This window comes from Homo sapiens, chromosome 13 (assembly GCF_000001405.40).
Source record: "Homo sapiens chromosome 13, GRCh38.p14 Primary Assembly".
NCBI lineage: Eukaryota > Metazoa > Chordata > Mammalia > Primates > Hominidae > Homo > Homo sapiens.
The window spans coordinates 75,680,010-75,707,024 of record NC_000013.11 but is presented as its reverse complement, the minus strand read 5'-3'; the positions used below and the strand labels follow the sequence as shown (position 1 = coordinate 75,707,024).

The window sequence follows — 27,015 nt, the reverse complement described above, 5'->3', positions numbered from 1 at the left end:
CTAGGTAATTTTTCTTATTATCTATGCAATCCACACAATCTTAAATTTAATAATCCTTATTATTATCTCCATTTCACTAGTATGAAATTCGAGGCTCAGAACGTTTAACTTTCTAGAAAGTTACAAAACCTCCCACATGAAACAGACACCAAAAACCAACAGCATTTTATAAGTACTCAGTAAAAGAGTAACTCAACTACATTAGACTCTAAAGTATTTTTAGGCTACAAAAATTAAATTATCTTCAATCTATTTAGATATTTTAAAATTAGGGTATTTTACAACATAATACAGCTTCAAAAATAATCCTCCTCTGTTAAGGGTATAGAAGGTAGATCAGTAAATAAAAATGTTCAGTTAATCTTTTCATCCAATTTTCCTGGATAAAAAGATGTGTTAACACATAATGACTGTGTGTGTGCATGGGTGTAGGTGTGAGAGACAGAGGAAGATAATAAAAATATAATACTCTAAATTTCAGTATAAGATAAGTTCTCTTTAAATGTTTTAACAGTTCTGTGGGCATTTTCACAAGCATTATAAAACATTTGTACTGCACATACTAGCTACTCCAACCTCAATAACTCGAAAAATCTGATTTTTTAATTAGCAACTCTTATACCATATAATTGTAAACTCACCTAAGACTCCCCCTAAAATAAAACAAAAATTTTTTATGAGTTTAAAACCAAAAAAAGAAAGCACAATTTTATAGCAGGACTATTAGGTCTACAGAGGCTGCCTCAGCTACTTACCTTAAGGTCACAACATGATGTCAATGGTGGCCTGTTGAGGCCAAGTAGGGGCACTGGAATTAGGATGCCTGGGTTTAAAGCCCTGCTCTGCCACTTTCTACCTGCAATTCTGAACAAGCTACATAACATCTTAGTTATCCCATTTGTGAAATGGAGATTAAATGTACCCATCTCAAAGGGTTATGGTGAGAATTAAATGAGATAATATGCATGAAACACTTAGCACTTGCCTGACCCAAGACAAGCACTCACAAATGCTAGCTGTTATTATTACCTGTTACTATCCATCTGTAGAATGAAAGTAAGAAGCTGCATCTTAGCAGATAAATGTCTGTTTTGCCAGATGCAACATCCTTTATTTAAAGGAAGAAACTGAGTTATTAAATTACTTTCTGTCTTCTGACAACATTGCAAAAGTTATAAATCTACAAACCATCTCAAAACATAGTGAAAGTAGGTTGTTTAAAAATAAGAATAAATCACACTTTAAATGTGAACTCATTCTTATGTTGAGAATTCAGTATTCTGAAAGAAATTACAGTATTTTAAAAGAACTGTTTAGTAGTTCTAATCTAACAATTACTCATTCAGTTTTTCTATAATTTTGAACCTTACTCATTAGCAAGTTATTTAAGGTGTGACACATTTCACGTAATGCTGTTGTGATTCATAGGAACCACATAAATAGAGACCACATGTTTCCCACTTAAGTTATCAAAAGTCAACACAAACAGGAGTGATGACTATGTAGTCAAACAGCCACACCCTGCCTTGTATACAATTTTTTCTTCTCTTTCTTGTTTGCCCCTTTCCTTATTTTCCTAAGGCAGTTAAATAAAATCATCCCCACCTAAAATAATCTGAAGAGATACACATCAGGAGAGAATACCTCAGGTTTAATCCTGGACCTATCTCACATGATACACTTTTAAATCACCACTCAGTCCCTTAATTTTAAAAGGGAAATTAATATTTGCCCTATCTACTTCATAGTACACAAGTGACTTGTGAAGGCATTTCGACTCCTCTGGGAAAAAAGCCTACATATCCCAGTGTAGGCTCGTGCTTCCAGCCATCCTGTGGCAAAGAAGCTAGGAAGCGACTGCGCCAAGTGTGAGGCCCTTGGGGCTTCCTCTGAGGTTGTAATTAGCCTACCCGAGCATATGAAGGGCGGAGCGGCCTCCCGAGGGCATATTCCGCACCAACACCTCTGCCAAACCTGTCTTACCACCTGTGGCCTCCGAAGAAGCCCTTGATAGGAAGTTATTAAAAAACAGGTTCTGTAGAAGAAAATATCTATCAGATAAATATTAAGGCAATAATTGCCAAGTATATAAATTTCAAAAAACCCCATTTCTTTAGCTATGAGGTGTATTCATTTCATAAGCAAATGGGAATTATCTTCACACCCTTTACTGTTTTGGTCATGGTTTTATTTTAATCCTCTTGCTGGATAAGATTTCTTGCCAATGTAAACAACAAGTTTCTCTGAAGCTCTATCGCTCAGTTCCAGTTCTGATCGCATAATCCACATGACTTAAATCCCAAACATTCTGGGAGCTTCTTGAAGACCACTTCATACCAGACTGGTTATCAGCAAAATGCCCACTAATGCGAGTCAGCAGGCACTTCTCTCGTTTAACTTTTTCAATTTCTTTTAAGCAGCCATTTAAAAGGTGCCTAGAATCCCAAAAGCACTCTCCACCATATTTGTGTGCAAACCCCTGTGCAAAAAGAAAAACATTGTTTGAGCTTGTATTCAAAGCTGGGGAGAGGGGTTTGCTGACAAACATTAGGCTGTGAGCTTCAACTGGGCTCACAGTTGATTCCAAATTAAGTTACTTACTAATTGACAGATCAGCTACTAGGTCATGATACTTAAGATACAAACCATCATCACACCAATCATTTCAACATTAGTAATGAGAAACAAAAATATCCCAACAAACATTTACGTTAGAAACCACTGTGGTACAGACGAACCACATCATGAAACAATTCCCAAGAGCCATGTTTGCCATAATTTTTCATTCAGGGAGATAACTAAGTGTTCACGTATCATGACCTTATAATGAGATAGTACAGGGCATTTTTCCGCAGGGAGAAGCCCCAGGCTGGTATACAGGAGGAGCTGGATGCCTTCTCTAAAGCTGTCAATCAATTAAAAACACCCTTCTTTACTCCGTTCATTAAACTTCATTGTCGAAACAACCATTATATGATCTCCATGACTCCACAAAACACATCAAATTTTTATAATAAATTCCATAAGATGTCCACATCATTATTTATGATGCAACATCTTTGACAGATCTCATTGGTTACAAATACCAAAAACTTACAAATGCAAGGATTATGGCTTACCATAAACACATTAGGTAAAAACAGAACATAATTTAAATGGAATAAATATCTCCTACCTCTTTCCTGTCCCTGAATAGAATGATTGAAAAAGTCATTCATGATGTCAGAGAAGCCAGTTCTTCACAAAAGGATGGGTTTTGCACTTTTTAAACTGTCCTCACAGTGCACACACACACACACACACACACACAAAGAACCTGAAGTCAGAGAAGCTGAGATGGAAGTACCAGACTCCTTGGATAATGAAGACTGTCTCCTAACTTCTCAAGGCCTCAGCTATAAAACAGGAACCCGAGTTATGTCAGCCAACACTCACTTACACTGTCTGCTTTGGGCCTGAATCTTTGTAGCAACCCTATGTGGTAGCATCTCTTACCCCTGGTTTACACATGAGGAAATTGAGCTACAACAAGGTTACTGGACTTGAGACCTAGACCAGTAGGTAGTTCTCTATATATCAGCGCATTGAGCATCAAATGAGAGTGTCTGTGAAAGCACTCAGGGAACTCTAAACTGTAATTAGTGACTTACCTCCTATTCCCCCAGTCATTCCAGTCTACACTGCATACTCCCAAGAGCAGGAGGCTCTTACCCAACTTCTCACTGGCTGAAATACAGCTTACACACCCTCATCACTTTTAAATCAAATTATTCTTCCTATAAATAGTTGCTATTTACTAATTTATAGGAATAAAAAACAAACAAACAAAAAGACCAAACAGATGATTAAATTTCAGGTGTGTGTTGGGGGGGATGAGGGAGTTGGTTGTGTTTTGGAGGAAGAGCCTTCCTCAGTTCTTGACATCACTTTATTAAAGTAGCCTTCTACTGCACAGGAGAAAACCCATCCTAGTTTTGTCAGTAGCTCAAGAATAAAAACATACAAGAGTACATGAAAGTATATCACTCTAGTGATACTTTTTGAAAGACTATATGGTTGGATGAAACCTTCAAAGTTGAAAGCTTGTCACCACTATTAATTTGCTACATGAAAATCTTTCCAGGTTAAAGAATATGTTAGAGTTTAACTTTTCATTTAAATAATCTGTCTTAATTTTAACTAAGATACAAAGAAAGCATTCATTTATTCATTCATTCAAAAATTATTTAATGACAACCTGCTATATACATACCTGACATGGTGCACAGCACTAGGAATATAAAAAGTAAAATGAAGCAATTCTTGGAACTTCCTCTTTAAAATTCTAACCCTGTTTTGAAATTGTAGTCAAAATGGCATATGTGGTTAACCCACTGAATTACACCATGTTCTTGGTAAACTTATATTGTATATTCAGCAAATAACATTCCTTTAAGGGGTAATTCTCAAGTCACTCATTTCTATTAAGATTTGGCATTGTACTACATAATATTGGGGAGTATACTAGGACTATTTTTGCCAATACTAATATCATTTGATAGCAAAACCAAAGCCAACTCGCAGTCTTCCAAGATAGTGGTAATCAGAACTGCACAGATCCCTGAATTCTAGATGGAACCCAAAAGTCTCACAGTGGTCAAAAGTCTAAACATTTCTCCTACCCTTCTGCCTGCTACCCCAACTTTCATCTCAGAGTGGCTGGGGTCAGTTACACTTCCAACTTCACCTTCTCTTGGGGAAGGCCAACAAGTCTTCACAGAGCCAGAAGGAAGGAGCAGGGAAACAGCCAGCAAAATGCAATGCTCCGGGTTGTGTGCCCAGATAATTAAAAGCTAACTGTCTTTATAAACACTCAAAATTCTCACTCAATCATCGTTAAACCAGATGTCAGTTGCACTCATATTTTGAGGGAAAAAAAAAAGAATAAGTTTAAACATTTCTAGTCCACGAGAAGAAGCCCACTTCCCTAGACCATAGCCAACTTTTAGCTTACAGTCTCAAGTTATTTTTACTAAACCACAATTATTAACAAGCCAAAAATGAAATACAACTGGAAGAAAAACTAAATAAAACAGGGAAGAAATGAAGGAAGATTGGTTCCAGGACTGGCAATTTATGTACAAGGTTTCATCAATCCATCAAAATCCAAGACAACCTGAGTCCTATTAGGGGCCAGGTAAGTTCACCGAAAACACATACAAAATGTGCTAGTTTTACAGCCTATGCTTCATTATGTTAACAATCACAAAAATCACTTCTAATGAGGACATTGCATTTTGTCTATAAACACAGGTTTATACTCCAAATTATATTGTTGCAGACAATAAGGAAAATATCCTAAGGGAAAAAAGTCTAGCCTTAAATTATTTTTTTCTAGATTAAGGAGTTTTTAAATAACTACCACACAAGGCACAAGTAGATGTGAACAATCATTATCAGGATATTTTAAGTATAGTTCAAATGCTTAATATAATCATGGGTTCTCAACAGCAAAAAGATGGCGTCATTTTTTGCAGAAATGTTTCACACACACATTAGCAAGTCTCAACAATTACCTACTTACCTCCCTGTGAATTACTAGGAAAGGCATCGCTGTGGGATCACATTCATTTTGGGAAATGGTACATCTCTATCACATGTAAGAGTCACTGCTTATTTCACATAAACTTCAAACTGACAGTTACGCCCTTGCTACCTATGATATACTTTACTATCCAGTTTAAGTTTGGTATTATTAAGTAATGCGGCTGAGACGCCCAGTTACACAAGAATTCCTGCAATAATTCTTGATGGATTCCCACTGCAAGCCAACAACAACGAAGTCCATCTGTCAACCTTCCAGAAGCAAAAAGGTCACTACATGTCAACCTTCCAGAAGCAAAAAGGTCACTACAATCTATTCCTAGTGCATACCCAAATGAGATGAAAGCATACCTCCACACAAAAACTTGTATATGAATGTTCATAACAGCCAAAAAGTGGAAACTACCCAAATGTCCATGAACTGATGAATGAACAAATAGAACATGGTGTAAATACACAATGGAATATGATTCAGCAATCACTGGAATGAAGTACAGTGGTCTGCTTCCATGGTTCCACTTTCTGTAGTTGCAGTTACCCACAGTCAACCACAGTCCAGAAATATTAAAAGGAAGATTTCAGAAATAAACAATTCTTAAGTTTTAAATTGCGCATTGTTTTGCATAGTGTGATGAAATCTCAAGCCATTCTGCTGTGTCCCCCTCTGTGAACTGTCCCTTTGTCCAGCATATTCACACTGCATGTGCTCCCTGCCCATGAGTCTCTTAGCAGTCTTCTTGGTTTGCAGATCGGCTGTTGACCACAGTGTTTGTGTTCAAGTCACCCATGGTTGACCTAATAATGGTGCCAAAGCACAAAGAGTAGTGATGCTGGCAATTCCAAAATGCCAAAGAGAAGCTATCAAGTACTCCCTTTAAGTGAAAAGGTGAAAGTTCTTGACTTAATAAGGAAAACAATCATATGCTGAGGTTGCTAAGATCTACAGTATTGCAGGAAGTCAGGGAACCTGAACAGAGGGACCAGCTGAAGCCACGGCAGAAGAACATAAATTGTGAAGATTTCATGTACATTTATTAGTTCTCCAAATGAATACTTTTATAATTTCTTAGGCCTGTCTTTACTGCAATCTCTGAACATAAATTGTGAAGATTTCATGGACATTTATCACTTCCCCAGTCAATACTCTTATAATTTCCTATGCCTGTCTTTACTTTAATCTCTTAATCCCATCATCTTCATAAGCTGAGGATGTATGTCGCCTCAGGACCCTGTGATGATTGTGTTATCTGTACAAATTGTTTGTAAAACATGTGTGTTTGAACAATATGAAATCTGGGCATCCTAAAAGAACAGGATAACAGCGATGTTCAGGAAACAAGGGAGATAACCATAAGGCCTGACTGCCTGCAGGGCCGGGCAGAACAGAGTCATATTTCTCTTCTTGTAAAAGCGAATAGGAGAAATATCACTGAATTCTTTTTCTCAGCAAGGAACAGCCCTGGGAAAAGAATGCATTCCTGGGGGAAGCCGCTAAAATGGCCGCTCTGGGAGTGTCTGTCTTATGCAGTTGAAGATAAGGGATAAAATACGCCCTGGTCTCCTGCAGCGCCCCCAGGCTTGCTAGGATTAAGAAATTCCAGCCTGGCGAATTCTAGTCAGACCAGTTCTCTGCTCTTGAACCCTGTTTCCTGTTAAGATGTTTATCAATGACAATGGGTGCACAGTGGGACATGAAACCTCATCAGCAATTCTAATTTCACCCTGGCCTTGTGATCTTGCTCTGCCCCCATTTGCCTTGTGATATTTTATTGCCTTCTGAAGCATGCGATCTCTGTGACCCACGCCCTATTCGTACACTCCCTCCCCTTTTGAAACCCCTAATAAAGACGTGTTGGTTTTGCAGCTTGGGGGCATCACAGAACCTGTCAACATGTGATGTCACCCCCGGAGACCCAGCTGTAAAATTTCTTATTTATTTCTCAGACCGGCCGACACTTAGGGAAAATAGAAAATAACCTACATTGAAATATTGGGGGCTGGTTCCCTTGATACTACAGTAAAAAAAAAAAAAAAAAATCTTCTATCTTGGAAATTGTAAAGAAAGAGAAAGAAATTCATGCTAGTTTTGGTTGTCACACCTCAAACTGCAAAACTTATGACCACAGTGCATGACAGGTGCTAAGATGGAAAAGACATTAAATCTGTGAGTGGAAGACAGGAACAGAAATATGTTCTGATTGACAGCAGTCAAGTTTGGTACTTTCCTCAGTTTCAGGCACCTACTGGGGGAGTCTTAGAACACATTCCTTGTATCAGGAAACGTACTTCCTGATAAGGGAACACTACTGTACTAATACATGCCATCACATAAATAAATCTTGAAAACATTAGGGTTAAGGTAAAAAAAGACCAAATATGGTATTATTCTATTTACGTGAAATGTCCAGAATAAGGTAATCCTAGGAACAAAAAGCAGATTAATGGTTGTCAGGGGCTAGGGGAGAGAGAGAATGGAGAGTGACTGCTAATGAATACATGTTTTCTTTGGTGAAAATGTTTTGAAATTAGATGTGGTGATGGCTCGGCAATTCTGTGAATATATTAAAAGCCACTGAATTATATACTTTAAAAGAGTGAATTGTATAGTATGTGAATTATATCTCAATAAATGTTTTTTTAAAAAATTTATTTGAACTGTACACTGAGACATTTGTGCATTTTGTTCAAACTCAATAAAGGTAACTTTTTAAAAGATAGTTACAAAGACCTTTCGCACCATCTCATGCCCCATATACAAAAGAAGTTCAACAGAAGTTAAGCTATTTAAATGATTCCTGTACTCTAAATGCCTACCCCTCCCCGAAAAAAAAAAAAAAAACTTAAATATATTTTGGCCAGATGAAATGTCTCACATCTGTAATTCCAGCACTTTGGGAGGCCAAGTAGAAGGATCACTTGAAGCCAGGAGTTCCAGATCAGCCTGAGCAACATAGTGAGAAGCCATCTCTACAAAAAATTAAAAAATTAACCAGGTGAGGGGGCACATGTCTGTAGTCCCAACTACTCAGGAGGATTCCTTGAATCCAGGAGGTTCAAGACTGCAGTAAGCTATGATCCTGCCACTGCACTCTAGCCTGAGCAACACAGCTAGACCCTATCTCTTAAAAATATATAAGTATATTATATTACATATATGTATTTATATTTTTTTCACAAGAATAGGTCTTAATTTGCAAAGTGGAATTTCTACCCCAGCTACTTTATATCCAGAAATATTTTAATATGAAATTCTGATATTTCCTCCTTTCATATATTTGCATCTATCTTAAGTGTTTCATCTTTGCATTATATATAAATAATTCCACAGGACAAGGTTTTCTCAGGTACATTTATTGTCTTTTTCCATAATTCACTTTAATTGTATGGTCTCAAAGCTGAAAACACACGAAAGATATCACAAAGAGGGCCACATTAAATGGGTTTGTAGAATTCTCCAACTCCCTGTTGAGAGTTAATTACATTCCCAATGGCAGAATTGTGGAGAAATCAGCTTTCCTCAAACAACTTGCAGAAACAGTTTTTCCTAGATTCTTTCTAGGGCCTTAAGCGATCTCAACAAAGTTTCCAGCTTATTTATCTCAAAAGTAGATACACTGACAGCTCTACAATGCATCTAATTATTAGTTTCCCGTTGATCAAGTAGTAATTTTATTTCCACTTATTGGAATCATTTGATTAAAGGTTATAAAAGTTGAAGCATGAAGAATAGTATCTTAAAATACTTTCTGGTATATTGAGAAATATAAAAGATCAATACACATGTTCCCTTTCAAGATAACAAAGAAAAGGAAGACACTGCCTGATATGGTTTGGCTGTGTCCCCACCCAAATCTCATTGTGAATTGTAGCTCCCATAATTCCCACTTGTTGTGGGAGGGACCCAGTGGGAGATAATTGAATCATGGGGGCAGTTTCCCCTATACTGTTCTTGTGATAGTGAATAAGTCTCATGAGATCTGATGGTTTTATAAGGGGTTTCCTCTTTTGTTTGGCTCTCATTCTCTCTTGCCTGCCATCATGTAAGACATCCCTTTGCTCATCCTTCATCTTCCACCATGATTGTGAGGCCTCCCCAGCCATGTAGAACTGAGTCCATTAAACCTCTTTCCTTTATAAATTACCCAGTCTCAGATGTGTGTTTATTAGCAGCATGAGAATGGACTAATACACCACCCGTACAAATACATGAGTTTGTTTTTCAAAAAAAATTTTCTTGGCCTTGAGAACGTGCCTTCAGGAAGTCACCCGACCTCCTTCCAGAGTGTGGCTAGCTCTCTCTGCTTCCACCTTCTCCTCATGCCAATCTGAATGTGTATTGGCATTCATGGCTCCCTTACTGATCTAAGCTCCTAAAGAAGATATCACAGCCCACAGGCTAGTTCCAACCCGTGCACATGTGTTGTTTGGCCCATAAGGTATGTCGACGTTGGGAAAGATCAAAAATGTGGATCACCAGCTTCCTTTAAAAAAGAAACAGTCTGGCAACGTTCGACGTGCGTTACCTCATAGCCACAACTGGCTGCTCTGGAGAAAACCCACTCTCAGGAGAGTGGCAGTCCCCACACCTCCCCTCGGCTCAGTCCACCCCAAGTCTACCTGTCTGGCCCCTGCAGGCATGGGAGCTTGGGAATACATGGGCTTTTTTGTTTGTATCCTCAAGACCCAGCATAACGCCTGCCCTGTGGACAGGACTCACCTGTTAACTCAGGGTTCAGTGTGTAGAAGAACCACTTGGGAAGCTTGGGGCAAATAATGGTCCCAAGCCTTCCTCTAAGGAATCCTGATTCAAATGGCCTGGATTGACACCTGGAAGTCTGCCTCTCCCAGAAGGCCCTTAACTGGGTTTTACTAAGAATGGTCTCTGAAAAACTTTGAGTGGAAAGAACCTGAGAGACCTACTACTAAGTCCCAATTCTATAAACAGGTGCTTGATTTTTGAATGGGTATCTAAGGTTCTTATGAGACTTGATTTCCTTATATGAAACAATTTGTACTAAATCATCATCTCATCTCACAGCTTTAAATGCTTCGGGTTTTTGTTTGTTTGTTTGTTTGTTTGTTTTTTTGAGATGGAGTCTCACTCTGTCGCCCAGGCTGGAGTGCAATGGCACAATCTCGGATCACTGCAACCTGCGCCTCCCAGGTTCAAGCCATTCTCCTGCCTCAGCTTCCCAAGTAGCTGGAACTACAGCCACACACCACCATGCCCGGCTCATTTTTGTATTTTTAGTAGAGACAGGGTTTCACCACATTGGCCAGGCTGGTCTCAATCTCCTGACCTCGTGATCCACCCGCCTTGACCTCCCAAAGTGCTGGGATTACAGGCATGAGCCACAGCGCCCGGCCAGCTTCGGTTCTTTACTGGAAATGTAAGGAAATCAGGCATGAAATCAGTTTCTGTTCTCTGCTGCCACCTGCTGGCACATTCTGAGTACTGCAGCAGTCTAAACAGCCTTGGGACCAGTTTTCCCCTATTTTTAATGGCTAGATCTAGGTACATAAAACATACAACAAAAACAGCTCATTTCAAAGTTTAAAACACATCATCAAGTAATAGTTGGTGAAAATGAAGAAGATTTTTATATAACACCACTAGTCTGTCAGCTTTATTAAATACACGAGAGCTTCTGATGTGTTTCTACAAAACTGGTTTTGAAGCATTAAAATAGATTGAGACTTTTCATGGCAAAATTTGCACATTAAAGTACACAATCTGGTTAGTTGTAGCTTTGGGGCCCACAACATGAAACAACTTTCTAGGGTTAAAAACATTCCAGGCCAGGCGTGGTAGCTCACGCCTGTAATCCCAACACTTTGAGAGGCCAAGGCGGGCAGATCACGAGGTCAAGAAATCAAGACCATCTGAGCCAACACGGTGAAACCCCGTCTCTATTAAAAATACAAAAATTAGCTGGGTGTGGTGGCATGTGCCAGTAGTCCCAGCTACTCAGGAGGCTGAGACAGGAGAATCGCTTGAACCCGGGAGGCGGAGGTTGCAGTGAGTGCACTCCAGCCTGGGCGACAGAGCGAGACTCCGTCTCAAAATAAAAATAAATTCCAAAATGGAATGGTGTGCATTTTGGGAGAAAAAATCCTGACACAGAAAATGTTCAGAAGCCAAACATATATAAATCACCTTGATTCAGTGAGACATCTAAGATTCCTCTCAACACCCTCAAGTCTTTCTCTTCTCCAAGAAGGTACAACCAAGAAGCTCATGAAGCTGGGTTCTCTGAGGCTTATGAGTATAGGTTATACATGGATTCTGCCTTCTAGCCTACAAGTACAGCTCAGAAGGGAGTTAATATGGGTGGACAAATGAACATAACAAATTGAAGATCCTTGCCTGAATGTTGAGGCAAAACTGAGAAAGATTCACACAGGAGCCATGGGGTGTGTCGGAGTGTGTGGGAGGCAGGAGGGCCCGGGTTAATCCGGAGGCTCCTCAAGGATGATTGCTTCACCCTCGAAACTGTGAAGGTTGACTTGCCAGCCACTCCCTCCTTCGATTCTCCCTGAGCTCACCGGCTAGGTGCTCTTCCTCTAACGTTTCAAACTTTGTTCGTTCAAGGACAAACTCCAAGCCCTAGTCCTCAAGTTAGTCCTCTGGTTCTCCACTCCTCACATTTCCTGCTCCCAGGTGAGCATTTGCCCTGGAGTGCCCTTATCTTAACTCATTCCCAGCATGTAAACAGACCTCCCCTCTCACCCAAGACTCAGCTACCACATCTCACTTCTCTGTTGAAACCATGATACCGACATTCTCCCAACGTCCCAGACTCAACATCAGAATGAACCTTCTCTGTCCCTCCAAATCCATGTAATTCTCTCCACTCTGGTTCTAGGCTTCTCTGGCAGATGTGACACTCAACATTCTCCTATGGATTGTTCTGCCTTAATCTCCTCTACTACCCTAACACTTCAATGCCTGCCTGTATTCTTCCTTAAAAATCAAAACAGTCTTCCTCACAAAAACAAACACTGCTCAAAACCTTCCAGAGATCCATTCTGCCTGCAGAGTGAGGCCTTCCTACCTACCTTCGAGCCCCTTCGCCCCTTCATTCTCACACCTGAATCCTTGGTTTTACCTAGACAAAAGAACCCAGAGCCTTCATTTCTCCATCTTAACAATTCCAATTACGTCTTTCCCCTGTCAGCCCCAAACATGACTGTCCCAAAGGGAGTCTTTCTCCCCCATAACTTCTGTGACACGGATTTTCTAAGACTAAGTCAGTAGTTACACCATTCTGCCTTATGGCATCATCATCTGCTCATCTTCTCTTCCGTCCTAGATTGAAACTTTATTGAGGTCAGGAAACTCCATAAAGATTTTACACATCTTTTTCTGTATTCTCCCACTGTATGACATGCATGACAGTAAGTATTCGTAAATAGTTTTTTTTTTTATTTTAAGGTCCCCTAAAAGCAAAATGATTAAAAGAAAAGACAGACTACTGCTCAAGGCATACAGAGAAGTTTTAACTAAGGTTCAGAGACTAAAGAGCACAAATCAGGAAAAAGATGTTGACTTTAGGTACAATGAGAGACAGCAAGATGGGGGAGCTGCCCAACAACCACAGAAGGCAGTCACAAAGAGGAGGAGAGGGTGAGAAAGAAAACCAGCCTCACTGCCTCTCAGCCAGGCCACCCATGCTCCTCGGCCACATGCAGAAACAAGAGTCCCTGAGCAGACAGATGGCACCTACGCTGGGGGAAAACACTCTGAGCCTTTGGCAGGAAAGGAAAGACCTAACAAATGCCTTGACAGGAGAGGAGAAGTCTGAAACCCAGCATTAACTAATATTTTCCTCCACAACAGAGAATAATGATAATTACCCTATGTCCTGGAACAGAGCATGGAGTCAGAAGACAGAAAAGCCGGAGGAAAAGGAGAACAGATTCAGTGACGGTAGGGAGGAGGGCTCCCAGTGCCACATGAAATAATTATCACCCCAGCCTGAAGCAGAGCCAGGTGGCAGCCACAGACAGGGGAGATCCACACAGCTGATATGAAATTTTGATGAATTCCTTAATGGCTGCACAATGAAGCCCATATTCCAGAAACAGGCTAATAATAGAACAAATGTCAGTGCTACACAAAAAGACTTAAAATTGCCTTTGTTATTTACTCATCTGTATTTATACATTTATCAAAATGTGGTTGTTTAATAAGCACTTTCATGAATAAGAAGGATGATGGATTATATCATGCATACTAGTCTTGCTTCTTTGAACTCTAAGCTGATATTCCAGGCCATTGTATTAACTGTATTACCAAAAAAAGGCCAGATAATACAGCTACCCATACACTTGACCCAAAATTATAGCTTCAGTGATTAAGTGAGATCTGTATATGCCACTTCCTGACACTGAGGAACTGAGCAAAGTTACAGCTTCTGTAATATAGTCTTAATCTCAAAATAGCAGACTCCTTTTCACAGGAGTATGCAGAGTGCCCTGTAAACTCTAGCTTGTCTAAGCCAAACAGGATGCTTCCGCACTGCTTCACATTTGCCTAAAAGCCTTCTTTTACCCTCCAAAGTCAAAAGAAGAAGACTGAAGGGCACCAGTATTATCTCCTTCTATAAAAAGCCTTGAGGAAATAAGTTAAATCTCCTAGAGAAAGGTTACACTTCAGGAAGACATTGACTGAGAAGGCACAGCCATTCGATAACTGGTATGAAGTGAAGCTCCAAACTAAAAGAGCTAAAACTTGACTAGACAATCCCAAAGGAATATGAGTAGTAGCAAGCATGCATGCAGGATCCTAAAGTAATTAGGAAAAAAATGGCCGAGTGCAGTGGCTCATACTTGTAAGTCCAGGCTGGGCAACACAGAAAGACCCTACGTACAAAAAAATTAAAAAGATGAGCCAGGCATGGTGGTGTGCGCCTGTGGTGCCAGATACTCGGGAGGCTGAGATGGGAGGATCCCTTGAGTCCAGAAGTTCAAGGCTGCAGTAAGTTATGATCATGCCACTGCACTCCAGAGCAAGACTCTGTCTCTGGAAAGAAAAAAAAAAAAAGGAAAAGAAACATATTTAAGGAATCGTAGCACTCCTATGGGTTATGTGTAAAAATCTCTTAAATAATAGACACTGAATGAACTAACGACCCTGAAACTAGCTGGTGTCTGTTGGCTTGTGACCCAATCTGCAGAACTAGGGCCTGGGTAGTCTGGAGCTAGTACAGATCAAGAATACTTGAGCAAAATGGTAACAGTTAGGTTTTCCTGGGTAGATGTAATAAGAGGACAATAGAGCAAGTTTGAAAATACTGTCACAAAAGTGGCTTAGTATCAGCTTGTGCAGACTACATAATGCAGGAGGAGGCAGAAAGTCAAGAGGTTTTGATAAAACAGGTATAGTTGAAGCTGCAAGGTAAGATATTGGGATTTAATAATGCAAAGGTGAAGCCTCCCCAGGAAATTACTAAATCCAGTACTAAGACATCAAAGAAAGTGGTTGGAGTAGAAATGGAGGTCATGGAATTGGGAAGTTAGAGAACTCAGCAGGCCCTCCAGGTCTGCACTGTGTTCACCCAGCAGGATGGCAGGGTTAGGGTGGGGAGGAGGCAGCTGGGCGCAGTCTTCACTGAGTAAAGAGGGGTGAATGGGGGGTCAGTATCCTAATGAGGAGGAGGGATGTTGGATAGTTTAACCAAAGGAGATTAAGCATAGATATTTCCATGTGAACACTTCAGGCTAATTGTCTGGAAGTAGCCCCTTTTCTCAGCCCTGTAGTATGTAGGGTACAGAGGAAACATCAGACTCCACTGGGGAAGGCTATAGGAGAAAGAGAGGACTGGGTTTCAAAGCCCGAAGAAAGAGATCAACACTGGAGTGTTCATCATAGAACAACTGCTCCAGAGGCCAGAGTGAAAAGGCCCAGGAGGAAGCATGGGAACTGGACAGGGAGCCTGAGTGTTCAGGCTGATGATGAAAACTCCCCCATCCCAGGCAATGACTGAGGCTGACGTGAGTTGGCCAAGTTGTTTACTGTGACACCAGGTTGTTTACTGTTAAGTCAGGCCAAGACCATACAAATCCTGCATCTTTTCTTATGATAAAGCAGTCTGCATTTTTTAAACTAAACTGAACAAACATCCTCTACTCAACACACCCAAAAGATTGATGGCATGAATAATACTGCAAATATTAGGTCATTGGTCTATAAACAGTGAGATGGTTTCATTATATTCACCTTACCTGAAGCAAAACTAATTTTTTTAAAGCTTTGTGAAAAACACTTTTCTCAGTCAGTTTGGCTTACAGAAATCTTCTAGTTTTGTTTAAAGAGTACACTCCAATTGGACTTAACAAAACTTCTCATTTACTAAAATTAAATCTCCAGTTTTAACTGCATGTAAAATATGTATGAATAAAATATGTATGAATACATATACATATCTACATATATATTATAAATATGTATAAAAATTTTATGTGTAAAGACAATTTATAGGTAATCCCTTACACATTCTCTGAAAATTTCCTTGCAACATTATCAGAAAAAGTAGTGGCAATTATTATTCAGGCAGTGGAAACTATTGTTCATCCTTTCAGCAAGTATCTGTGCACATTTCCTCAGTACTATGCTAAAAGTAATGTGGAAGACAAACGAACTGACAAACCCATTTCCAATTTTATTGAAAACCACACCTTAAACTAAGGGTGACCAAACTAGAGCCTGTGGGCCAAACTTGGCCTATCACTTGTTTTTATAAGTAAAGTTTTACTGGAATATAAGCTTTCAATCACTTACAAGGGGAGTTCTTACTACAGTAGAGAGAGAGAGTTGAGTAGTCTTACCAGAGACCCATTGGCCATAATGCCTAACAGATATACTATCTTGTCCCTTGCAGGAAAAATTTGCCAAATGCTGTAATTAACATTTGTCAATCAAGTACTTTATTTATTCAAATACATTGGTGCCAAACCTAGTACTCAGACAGATACAAATATATATATTTATCACAGCATGCCCTGGAGGAGCTCTCAAATATAGGACAAAACACCAAATAAGAGCGTGGGGTCCTGGTGACATTTTGGGCAGGCCTCCCGGAAAGCCTAGTGTAGGCAGATCAAAGCAGAGAAGACCCCCCAGCCTGGACCACCTTTGAGGAAAAAGATCACTGTGATCATCCAGAGATCACTCTGGTTTGGTCTTTTCTGAGGAGAAGGTGGCTCAGGCTATGTGGAGGCCACAGCCTGTAATCCCAGCTACTAAGGAGGCTAAGATGAAAAGATCGCTTGAGGCCAGGAGGTGGAGACTGGTCTGGACAACATAGTAAGACCCCCATCTCTAAAAGTAAAATAAAAATAAAAATAAGTAGAACTGTTTAAGAAAAAAAAAAAAAGGAGGGCTCAGCACCTTCCTGGCTCTTTAGTCGGAAAGGGTTCTCTTCGGTTCTCTTTCCACAGCCAAAGTGAGAGGAATAAGTGTATTAGTCAGGGTTCTCTAGAGGAACAGAACTCACAGGAGACATGTATATATGGTTTAATAAGGAGTATTGACTCACAGGATCACAAGGTCAAGTCCCACAATAAGCCCTCTAAAAGCTGAGAAGCAAGGAAGCCAGTCCGTGTCCCAAAACCTCAAAAGTTAGAGAAGCTGACAGTGCAATCTCCAGTCTGTGGCTGAAGGCCCGAGAGCCATGGCAAACCGCTGGTGTAGGTCCAAGAGTCCAAAACCTGAAGAACCTGGAGTGTGATGTTTGAGGGCAGGAAGCATCTGGCACAGGAGAAAGATGAAGGCCAGAAGGCTTAGCAAGTCTGCTCTTTCCACCGTCTTTTGCCTGCTTTATTCTAGCTGTGCCAGCAGCTTATTAGATGGTGCCCACCCAGATTGAGGGTGGGTCTGTCTCTCCCAGCCCACTGACTCAAATGTTAATCTCCTTTGGCACCACCCTCACAGACACGCCCAACACAATACTTTGCATCCTTCAATCCATCAAGTTGACACTCAATATTAACCATCACAGTATGCTCTACACTGGAAAAATTGAGTATGTTCATGAAATGCTGTATCTTGGAAAATAGCTATAGTTCCTGGAAATCCTACCCAGGACATGAGCATTTAATCCTATGTCCAGTGGGGAATTCAACCCACAATGGGATTGGAGTTAAAACTCAGTCCCAGAGCCTACTGACTTCTGGTTGTGTGGCCAGGCAGAAGAGCACTTTTCTAAAGCCATCCTCTTAGAGACGTGAAATTAAATAAATGATGTGGAGTGAGCTGCTTATTCCTGACCTAAATGAAGTGATGTAATGAATTCTGAAGATGAACTCTTAGAGGAAGATAAAGATCAGATAATTAGAAAAACAAACCTCAGGTTTCTTTCCAAATGGGCCAGAAAAATGAAAGAGAGGTAAATGTCAATGCATATACAGAGTACACTTCTGAAATTTCCTTAAATATGTAGAATAAATTTCAAGAATTGCATTAAAAACATTCCAAACATAAAACCTCAAGACTGAGCGGGGAGAAGAAAATACTCAAAAAGATAAATTAAAGAATAAAGAGGCAGCTCATAGGGAATGATCATTAAATAAAGCCCAATGGAAGGAGCTTATTCAATTTTGGCATCAGTGATGGGTTTGAAGAAATAGAAAAAAGAAAAAAAAATGAGTAAGTCAGGCCTTTGAGAGAAAAGCACAGAACAGTGTGTGGAGAGACGGAATATGAAGAATATTGAAGACTTTAGCAAGTAGCTTGGTGTCAAAAATGTCAAAGCTGCTGCCTGCTACAACTTTGCGAAAGCCAAAAAGGAGGCTGCAAATTCATGAGTTACTCAGAAAAAGAAGAAACTTCCATGGGGGGTTAATGCAAAGAATAGATGGGAAACCAAAAACAACATGGGATATATATATCTTGGCCAGCCTTCTTCAATACATTGATAGGCTCCAAGGGCTTAGGAAAAGATGTTCCTGCTTGTGTTAAATGTGTCAGAAAACCGACAGAAGTTGAAAGAATAAGCATAGATACGGGAGCTAATTATCAAATCTTTTCAACCTTTTTCTAAGGAGTTTATCCCAGTGAAGTGAATGAAATGGAGCTTTCTGTTATTCGCACAAGAATTCTAAGCATACATATGGGGGAAATGGCAGGATTTTTAACAATTATATAGACCTACAGTATGAAATCCATTTTCATTTTTATCATGTGGGTTCAGCATAGCCATTGAGCTTCTTACACCTTGACTTGGTTTAAAGGTACTGTGTTACTCTGCTCTCATGCTGCTAATAAAAACATACCCAAGACTGGGTAATGTATAAAGAAAAACAGGCTTAATGGACTCACAGTTCCACATGGCTGCGGAGGCCTCACAATCATGGTGGAAGGCAAAGGAGGAGAAGGGCACATCTTACGTGGCGGCAGGCAAGAGAACATATGCAGGGGAACTCCCCTTTATAAAACCATCAGATCTCGTGAGACTTATTCACTATCACAAGAATGGCATGGGAAAGAACCACCCCCATGATTCAATTACCTCCCACCAGGTCCCTCCTACAACACGTGGGGATTATGGGAGCTACAATTCAAGATGAGATTTGGGTAGGGACACAGCAAAACAATATCAGGTACTTATTCTTGCATTTTATTTTTAAGATTGCTGTTCATAATGGATTAATCATAAGTACCAAGAGAGTCTATCTCAGCTGATGGTGTCTTTACAAACACTTTAATTACTTTGTTATAAAAGTAATTCTTAAATCTTTAGTGGGAGACAGTAGAATTAATATTTCAGTCACATTGTAAAAGCCATTAATTTTCTGTTCCTTTGAATAAAATATTTCAATAAAAAAGCAAATAAAATACATAACAAGTGCTATATACAGGTACACATTCAATGCTATAGAGTAACTCTGCTTGGAAAAAAAAAGTTTGAGTGAAAAAAAATGTATTTTATTGGAGTTAACCAAGTAGAGAAAAATGGAGAGGAAGACAAGTATAAAGTCAGTACAAAGCTCCCTTCAGTCTGTCCTTTTTCCCCAAGAATCTCAGTGGTAAAGTATGAAGTTCAAGAAATCCTTGTTGAATAAATACTACCCTCTGGTGGCCACATTGTACTTTGTGCTCCAGAACTGTCCTGTTTTTTCCTTCAAAACTTACCCATCCTGTATTCCAGTCACCCAAGACTCTGATCTGACATGACAGCCTAATATTTCTGACAAAACTGACACTAATACAGTCAAGTTTTAGACTCCTCACACAATCAGTGGTCACTTTATAGAAACAAATCCTGGAAACAGTCACAAAAAATAAATCCAGGACAGGGATAATACCCTTCATGCAGGGAGAATCCATAGTGTATCCCCTCACTTCCTGACAGGATGGATGCAATGCACTGAATGTATCTCCCCAACATTCATATGCCAAAATCCTAACCCTCAATGTGACAGTATTAGGAGGTAGGGCCTTTGGAGGTAATTTAGATCATGAGAATGGAGACCTCATCTATGAAATTTGTGCCCTTAGAAGAGACCCTAGACAGCTCTCTAGCCCTTTTCTGCTATGTGAGGACGCATGGAGAGTGCCAGCTATGAACCAGGAAGTGGTCCCTCACTTCCAGATCTTCTGGTGCCTTAATCTTGGGCTTCCCAGCTTCCAGAACTATGAGAAATAAGTGTCTGTTGCTGAAGCCATGCACCCTATATACTCTGTTATAGCAGCCCTGACTGACAATGACTAACCACACATTTGCACATCTTCTCCTCAATGTTTCTCCAGCTTTCTTACTGCAAGGATTCACTTTTGGATACTGTTGCCACAAACTTTCCCTAGACCCTTCTGTACACATTCCACTAGTCTGTCAAATCTAAAATCCTCTCCCATAAAGCCAACTCCAATATATTTTATCCCTTACAGAGAGTTTAAAAAAAAAAAAAAAAAAGGTAAGATAGGGCCAGGCATGGCAGCTTACCCCTTGATATGGTGTGGCTGTATCCCCACCCAAATACCATCTTGAAACCCTATGTGTTGTGGGAGGGACCAGGTGGGAGATAATTGAATCATGTGGGGAAGTCTTTCCCATGCTGTTCTCGTGATGATGATTAAGTCTCACGAGATCTGATCATTTTATAAAGAGGAGTTCCCCTGCATGAGTTCTCTCTCTTCTCTTGTCTGCCACCAGGTAAACATGCCTTTCACCTTCCACCATGATTGTGAGCCACGTGGAACTGTGAGTCCAATAATCTTCTTTTGGAAATTGCCAAGTCTTGGGTATGTCCTTATCAGTAGCGTGAAAATGGACTAATACACCCCTGTAATCCCAGCACTTTAGGAGGCTGAAGTGGGAGGACTGCTTGAGCCCAGGAGTTCAAAACCACCCTGGACAACATGGTGAGACCACGTCTCTACTGAAAAATTTTCAAAAAATTAGCCAGGAGTGGTCATGCACACCTGTAGTCCCAGCTATGCAGGAGGATCACTTGAGTCCTGGAGATCAAGGCTGCAGTAGGCTATGATTGGGCCACTGCCTGGGTGACAGAGTGAGACCCTGTCTCAAAAAAAAAAAAAAAAAAAAAAAGAGAAAGAAAAGGTAGGATGAAAAACCCTTGGTTTGATTGGTCTTCATTTCCCAGTGAATTGATGTAAGAGTAGCCATTTTCTCCCTATTTATCATCCCTCATTTCATGTACATAATTATGGCCCGTGGATATATCTCATATGTCCAGGCTTTTCCCACCTTCTCTTACTCTTCAAATTTTTTGTCTATCAGCCACCATTCCAGGCCTCAGAGAGCTATGCATTCAAAGGTAAGCCTGAAACTCTGGTTTCATTTCAACACGTTCTTTGGCAGCCATTTTGGTATAAACAATGAGCAGCTGAGTAACCAGTTAGTTCCACAGGACAAATCCAAGCAAATATTCCACAGGCTCAAGTGCTTCCCCCTGTTGACAAGGCCTGGAGGCTGCTTAGGATGGGCAGATGAGAAGATTAAAATGCATTGCCAGGCTTTCATCTTTTAATTGGTCTCTCTCTTTGGCATTCTTTTGGAAGACAAAAGCGTGGGATGAGGCTTTAGTTTCCTTCCACTTCACACAAACATGAGTCAACTCTAGCCAGAAGGGGTAAAGAACACTCAAATATGTGGCATAGCAGCCTCATTCCCAGAGGCCAGCACAGTTCACAGAAACTGCAAACCCAGCTTACTCCAAGTCCATGTCTGAGTCTTACAGGATGTTTACTGAGTATCTGCTATGCAAAATGAAATCAAAGCAAATTCCATGGAAAATCTAAACCGAAAGATACTCAGGTGAAATCTTTTCATGTTATCTAACAAATTCTGGGAAAATCACCTAGATGATAAACAACTGGAAAGTTATGGAAAACATTATTTCCAGTTTCCAGTATTGCTGCTTTCACAAAATAATTTACTGAATAGCTAAAGATAGGCGGAATTCACCAGAGTTAACCCAACAAATCGCAATGCCATAGAAGATCAAACCTTAAAGGGGCCGCTACAATTATCTAACAGCTGGCATAAGTGTAAATCACTATAAGTGAGAAAATTAGGGCTCTTGCCTTAAAGAGACAAAGTAACATTGGTAGGGCTGAGCAAACTGTGTGTGTGTGTATGTGCGTGTGTGTATATATGTATATACATATACACACACACACATATATACACATACGTATATACACACACGTATATATGTATACAGCAACAAGCACAAGGTTTGGGTTAGACACAACTGTTTCAATTCCAGCCCTGCCACTCTCTAGCTATGTTACAGGATTTCGAAGCCTCCCCCTATTTTTCCTTCTATTTAACCCTATTTACCTAAGAAGGTTGGCCAACTCCTATGTCCTTCCCAAAGGCTTTCTGCCTTTCATGGTAAAACTTGTTTAAAAAAAAAAAAAAAAAAAGCCGGCCGGGCGCAGTGGCTCACGCCTGTAATCCCAGCACTTTGGGAGGCCAAGGAGGGCGGATCACCTGAGGTCAGGAGTTCAGGACAAGCCTGACCAACGTGGAGAAACCGCGTCTCTACTGAAAAAAAATACAAAATTAGCCAGACATGGTGGCACATGCCTGTAATCCCAGCTACTCAGGAGGCTGAGGCAGGGAATCGCTTGAACCTGGGAGGCGGAGGTTGCAGTGAGCAGAGATTGCAGAGATTGCACCATTGCACTCTAGCCTGGGAGACAAGAGCGAAACTGCATCTCAAGAAAAAAAATTTCAAGGTGACAAAGTTGGGATACAAAGCACTTTTCCAGTACTTCTGTACACCAAAAATAAAATTCTAAGGCCGCCCCCAACCATCTAAATGGACCCCTTCCCTCAGCCAAGGGCATTGCAAAGTTAACCTGAAAAACGAGTTCAGGATAAGATGGGAAGTGGAGGTGGGGGTCAGATGCCTCATTCTGTCCCCCCTCCCTTTTGGAATTCAGGAAAAGCTGACCAACATTAACATCAACCCAGACCTTAACTCTGATAAGACATATTCACAATTTATTCTCTCTGAAGCCTGCTACCTGGAGGCTTCATCTGCATAAAACCTTGGTCTCCCCAATCCCTTATCATCATTCAGGCATTCCTTTTTATTGATAATAATTCTATCAACAAATTGCCAATCAGAAAAATTTTTAATCAACCTATAAGCTGGAAGCCCCCTTGCACTGAGTTGTCACACTTCCAGATGGAACCAATGTAAATCTTACATGTATTGATGTATATCTCCCTAAAACATATAAAAGCAAGCTGTACCCTGACCACCTTGGGCACATGTCAGGACCTCCTGAGGCTGTGTCCTTAACCTTGGCAAAATAAACTTCCTAAATTGATTGAGACCTGTCTCAGATACTATTGGGTTCACACTTCATATTGCCAAGGTATATACTTAAGATATTGCCCTTGGGTTTAAAAGTACTGGAGAACAACGGCATAGCTGACTAGAAATCTGCTAAGGAAAATATAAGGATGAGACTGTATTAAATAAGAATGATAATCATTGGTGCTGGAACACAACTGGACTTCTATATGCAAACCAACGTAAACCTCAATTCAAACTGTCCACCATATGCAAATATAAATCAAAAAGTATCTTAGACCTAATTGCAATATCCAAATCTATAAAACTTTTAGAAGTTTTATAATATTGGAAATAAATTTGTGATATTTGGCTAGGCAAAAATGTCTTAGATATGAACCACAAGCACAATCAATAGAAGGGGAAAAGAGATGAACTGGATTTCATCCAAATTAAAACTTTTACTCTTTGAAAGGCACTGTTAAGAGGCTGAGGCAGGAGAATCACTTAAACCCAGGAGGTGGAGGTTGCAATGACCTGAAATCACCACTGCACTCCAGCCTGGGCAACAGAGCAGAACTCCATCTCAAAAAAAAAAAAAAGAAAAAAAAAGTCAAACCACTGGAAGTAAATGTTTGCAAAACATATCTGATAAAAGACTTGTATCTAGAAAATAGAACTCTCAAGCAATCCAATTTAAAAGATGGGCAAACAAATAATCTGGACACTTCATCGAAGATACATAGATGGCAAATAAGCACATGAGAATATGCTCAATGTCAATAGTATAATAAAAAGACTCAATTTTTAGTATAAGCCTTGTGGATTAATTCAATGGACATTTATTAGGCTCTTATTGTAGTAAACATTGGATTTGCAAAATCATATGACATGCGTTGCTTTTAAGGAGTCAAGATGTGTGGGGAACAAAGGTAAATGAACAATGAAATGGACTAGAAGTACAGTAATACATCCCATAATGACTGGATATTTCTGAGAAGTGTATTCTCAGGCGATTTTGTAAACATAAATAAATAAATAAAGACTGTTTTTGATGTTGACCTCTGACAGCTTTCAAGGCCACCACCCTCCCCTTTCCTCTTTACCCCACATCTGGGCAACCTGATAAGAAAGCCCATGTATACCATCTGTCCCTTGGCACTCATGGAAATTTCAAACTACCCATCCTGGGTGGCAAAAAAGAGGCACCCCATCCAGGCTCCACCCCTTAACCACAATAAAAATTTCAAACCACCAACCCTCTCCCCATCTCCTAACTTCAGACAAAATCCAAGCCCTTCTCCTGGGAATCTTTGGCTATTTACTTTGTGTGCCATTTGTCCTGACATCCAGAAATTCATGAAGAAGTAGCTAAGGCCTAATGTCTAACAGAGGATGCTAGGTGCTCCAACTTAACAATTAAGTCATTAGGTAAATGCAGATTAAAACCACTACTGCATACCTACAAACATATTAGTACTACCTTTAAGAATGGCTAAAATTTTAAGAACTCAAAATAGCAAGTGCTGACAAGGGTGTAGAAGAATAGAACTCTCATACATTGTTGGTAGGAATGCAGAACATTGTGGCCAATGTGGAAAGCAGTTCATCTATTTCTTGTAAACTTTAGCATATACTTTCCATATGCCCCATCAATCCCACTCTTCAGTATTTACTCAGATAAATAAAAACCGTAGGATGAATGCTCATAACAGCTTCAAAATTCCAAAAAACTGGAAACAACCCAAATCTCCTTCAAATGGATTAACAAACTGTGGTACATCCATGCAAGGAATACTACTCAGCTATAAAAAGATATGATTTACTGATGATAGAAACAACAGTACGGATATGTCTCAAATACATTATGCTAAGTGAAAGAAGCCAGACTCAAAAGGCTACAAATAATAAGATTCCATATATATATATATATATATATATATATATACATATATATATACACATACATACATACATACATGACATTCCCCAAAAGACAAAACTACAGTTACCTATAAGGACTAAAAGCAGATCAGGGGTTGCCAGGGCAGAGGGAAGACGACAGAGTGAGAAGAGTTGACTACAAAAGGGTGCACAAAGAAACTTGGTGGGGGAGGGTAATGGGACAGTGCTGTATTCTGTTGGACTGACAGTTACATAATTGTATGCATTTGTCAGAACTCAGTATACTAAAAAGGATAAATTTTACTGTAAATCATATTTCAATTTAAAAGGATGAGTTGATAGTATGAAATGGCTACCAGAAATGTTGCTATTATCTGAACTGATATTACCAGAAGTTTAGGATAGTAGCTCATAAACTTTGCTGAGCATTAATAACTCAAGATGGATTAAAGACTTAAATGTAAAACACAAAACTATAAAAATCCTAGAAGAAAATCTAGGCAATACCATTCAGGACATAGACATGGGCAAAGATTTCATGGCAAAAACATCGAAAGCAATTGCAACAAAAGTAAGAATTGGCAAATGGGATCTAATTAAACTAAAGCGCTTCTGCACAGCAAAAGAAGCTATCATCAGAGTGAACAGACAACCTACAGAATGGGAGAAAAGTTCTGCAATTATCCATCTGACAAAGGTCTAATATTCAGAATCTATAAGGAATTTAAACAAATTTACAACAAAAAAAAAACCTCATTAAAAAGTGGGCAAAGGACATGAACAGACACTTCTCGAAAAAAGACATTTATGCAGCCAATGAACATAGGAAAAAAGCTCAACTCACTGATGATTAGCGAAATGCGAATCAAAACCACAATGAGATACCAGTCAAAATGGCAATTATTAAAAAGTAAAGACTATGACGAGAACAGAAAACCTAACACCGTATGTTCTCACTCATAAGTGGGAGTTGAACAATGAGATCACATGGACACAGGGAGGGGAACATCACACACTGGGGCCTGTCAAGGGGTTGGGGGATAGGGGAGGGATAGCATTAGGAGAAATACCTAATACAGGTGACGGGTTGATGGGTGCAGCAAACCACCACAGCACGTGTATCCTATGTAATAAAACTGCACGTTCTGCACATGGACCCCAGAACTTAAAGTAAAATTAAAAAAAAAAAAGTCAAGAAACAACAGATGCTGTCAAGGCTGTGGAGAAATAGGAATGCTTTTACACTGTTGGAAGGAATGTAAATTAGTTCAACCACTGTGGAAGACAGTGTGGCAATTACTCAAAGACTTAGAACCAGAAATATGATTTCACCAGCAATCCCATTACTGGGTCTACAGCCTAAGGAGGATAAATCATTCTATTATAAGGATACATGCACACATATGTTCACTGCAGCACTGTTTACAATAGCAAAGACATGGAATCAACCCAAATGCCCATCAATGATAGACTGGATAAAGAAAATGTGGTACATATACACCATGGAATACTGTGCAACCACAAAAGGGAACGAGATCATGCCCTTTGCAGGGACATGGATAGAGCTGGAAGCCATTATCCTCAGCAAACTAACACAGGAATAGAAAACTGAACACCGCATGTTCTCACTTACAAGTGGGAGCTGAACAATGAGAACACATGGACACAGGGAGGGGAACAACACATACTGGGGCCTGTGGGAGGGAGATCGTCAGGAAAAATAGTTAACGCATGCTGGGCTTAATACTTAGG

General features: G+C 39.9%; 1 protein-coding gene and 1 pseudogene across 5 annotated transcripts in view, besides 3 other annotated features; one reads left to right on the top strand and one right to left on the bottom strand.

Annotated features, from left to right (window-relative positions):
• Positions 1-27,015, bottom strand: part of LMO7 (LIM domain 7) — a 239,437-nt gene that overhangs the window by 152,846 nt on the left and 59,576 nt on the right. The gene's annotated exons all lie outside the window — the stretch shown is intronic.
• Positions 781-1,980: an enhancer, noted in NCBI's record as "MED14-independent group 3 enhancer chr13:76279181-76280380 (GRCh37/hg19 assembly coordinates)". NCBI's record gives its function as "activates an origin of replication core promoter dependent on BRD2, BRD4, P300/CBP and CDK7 cofactors, and independent of MED14, by STARR-seq in HCT116 cells {active_cell/tissue: HCT116}" and the evidence as "EXISTENCE:reporter gene assay evidence [ECO:0000049][PMID:35650434]".
• FAM204CP (family with sequence similarity 204 member C, pseudogene) lies at positions 17,828-18,471 on the top strand (annotated as a pseudogene).
• Positions 21,034-21,534: an enhancer, noted in NCBI's record as "OCT4-NANOG-H3K27ac hESC enhancer chr13:76259627-76260127 (GRCh37/hg19 assembly coordinates)". NCBI's record gives its function as "activates a minimal SCP1, AML or CMV promoter by ChIP-STARR-seq in naive H9 embryonic stem cells {active_cell/tissue: H9 hESC(naive)}" and the evidence as "EXISTENCE:reporter gene assay evidence [ECO:0000049][PMID:30033119]".
• Positions 21,535-22,035: an enhancer, noted in NCBI's record as "OCT4-NANOG-H3K27ac hESC enhancer chr13:76259126-76259626 (GRCh37/hg19 assembly coordinates)". NCBI's record gives its function as "activates a minimal SCP1, AML or CMV promoter by ChIP-STARR-seq in naive H9 embryonic stem cells {active_cell/tissue: H9 hESC(naive)}" and the evidence as "EXISTENCE:reporter gene assay evidence [ECO:0000049][PMID:30033119]".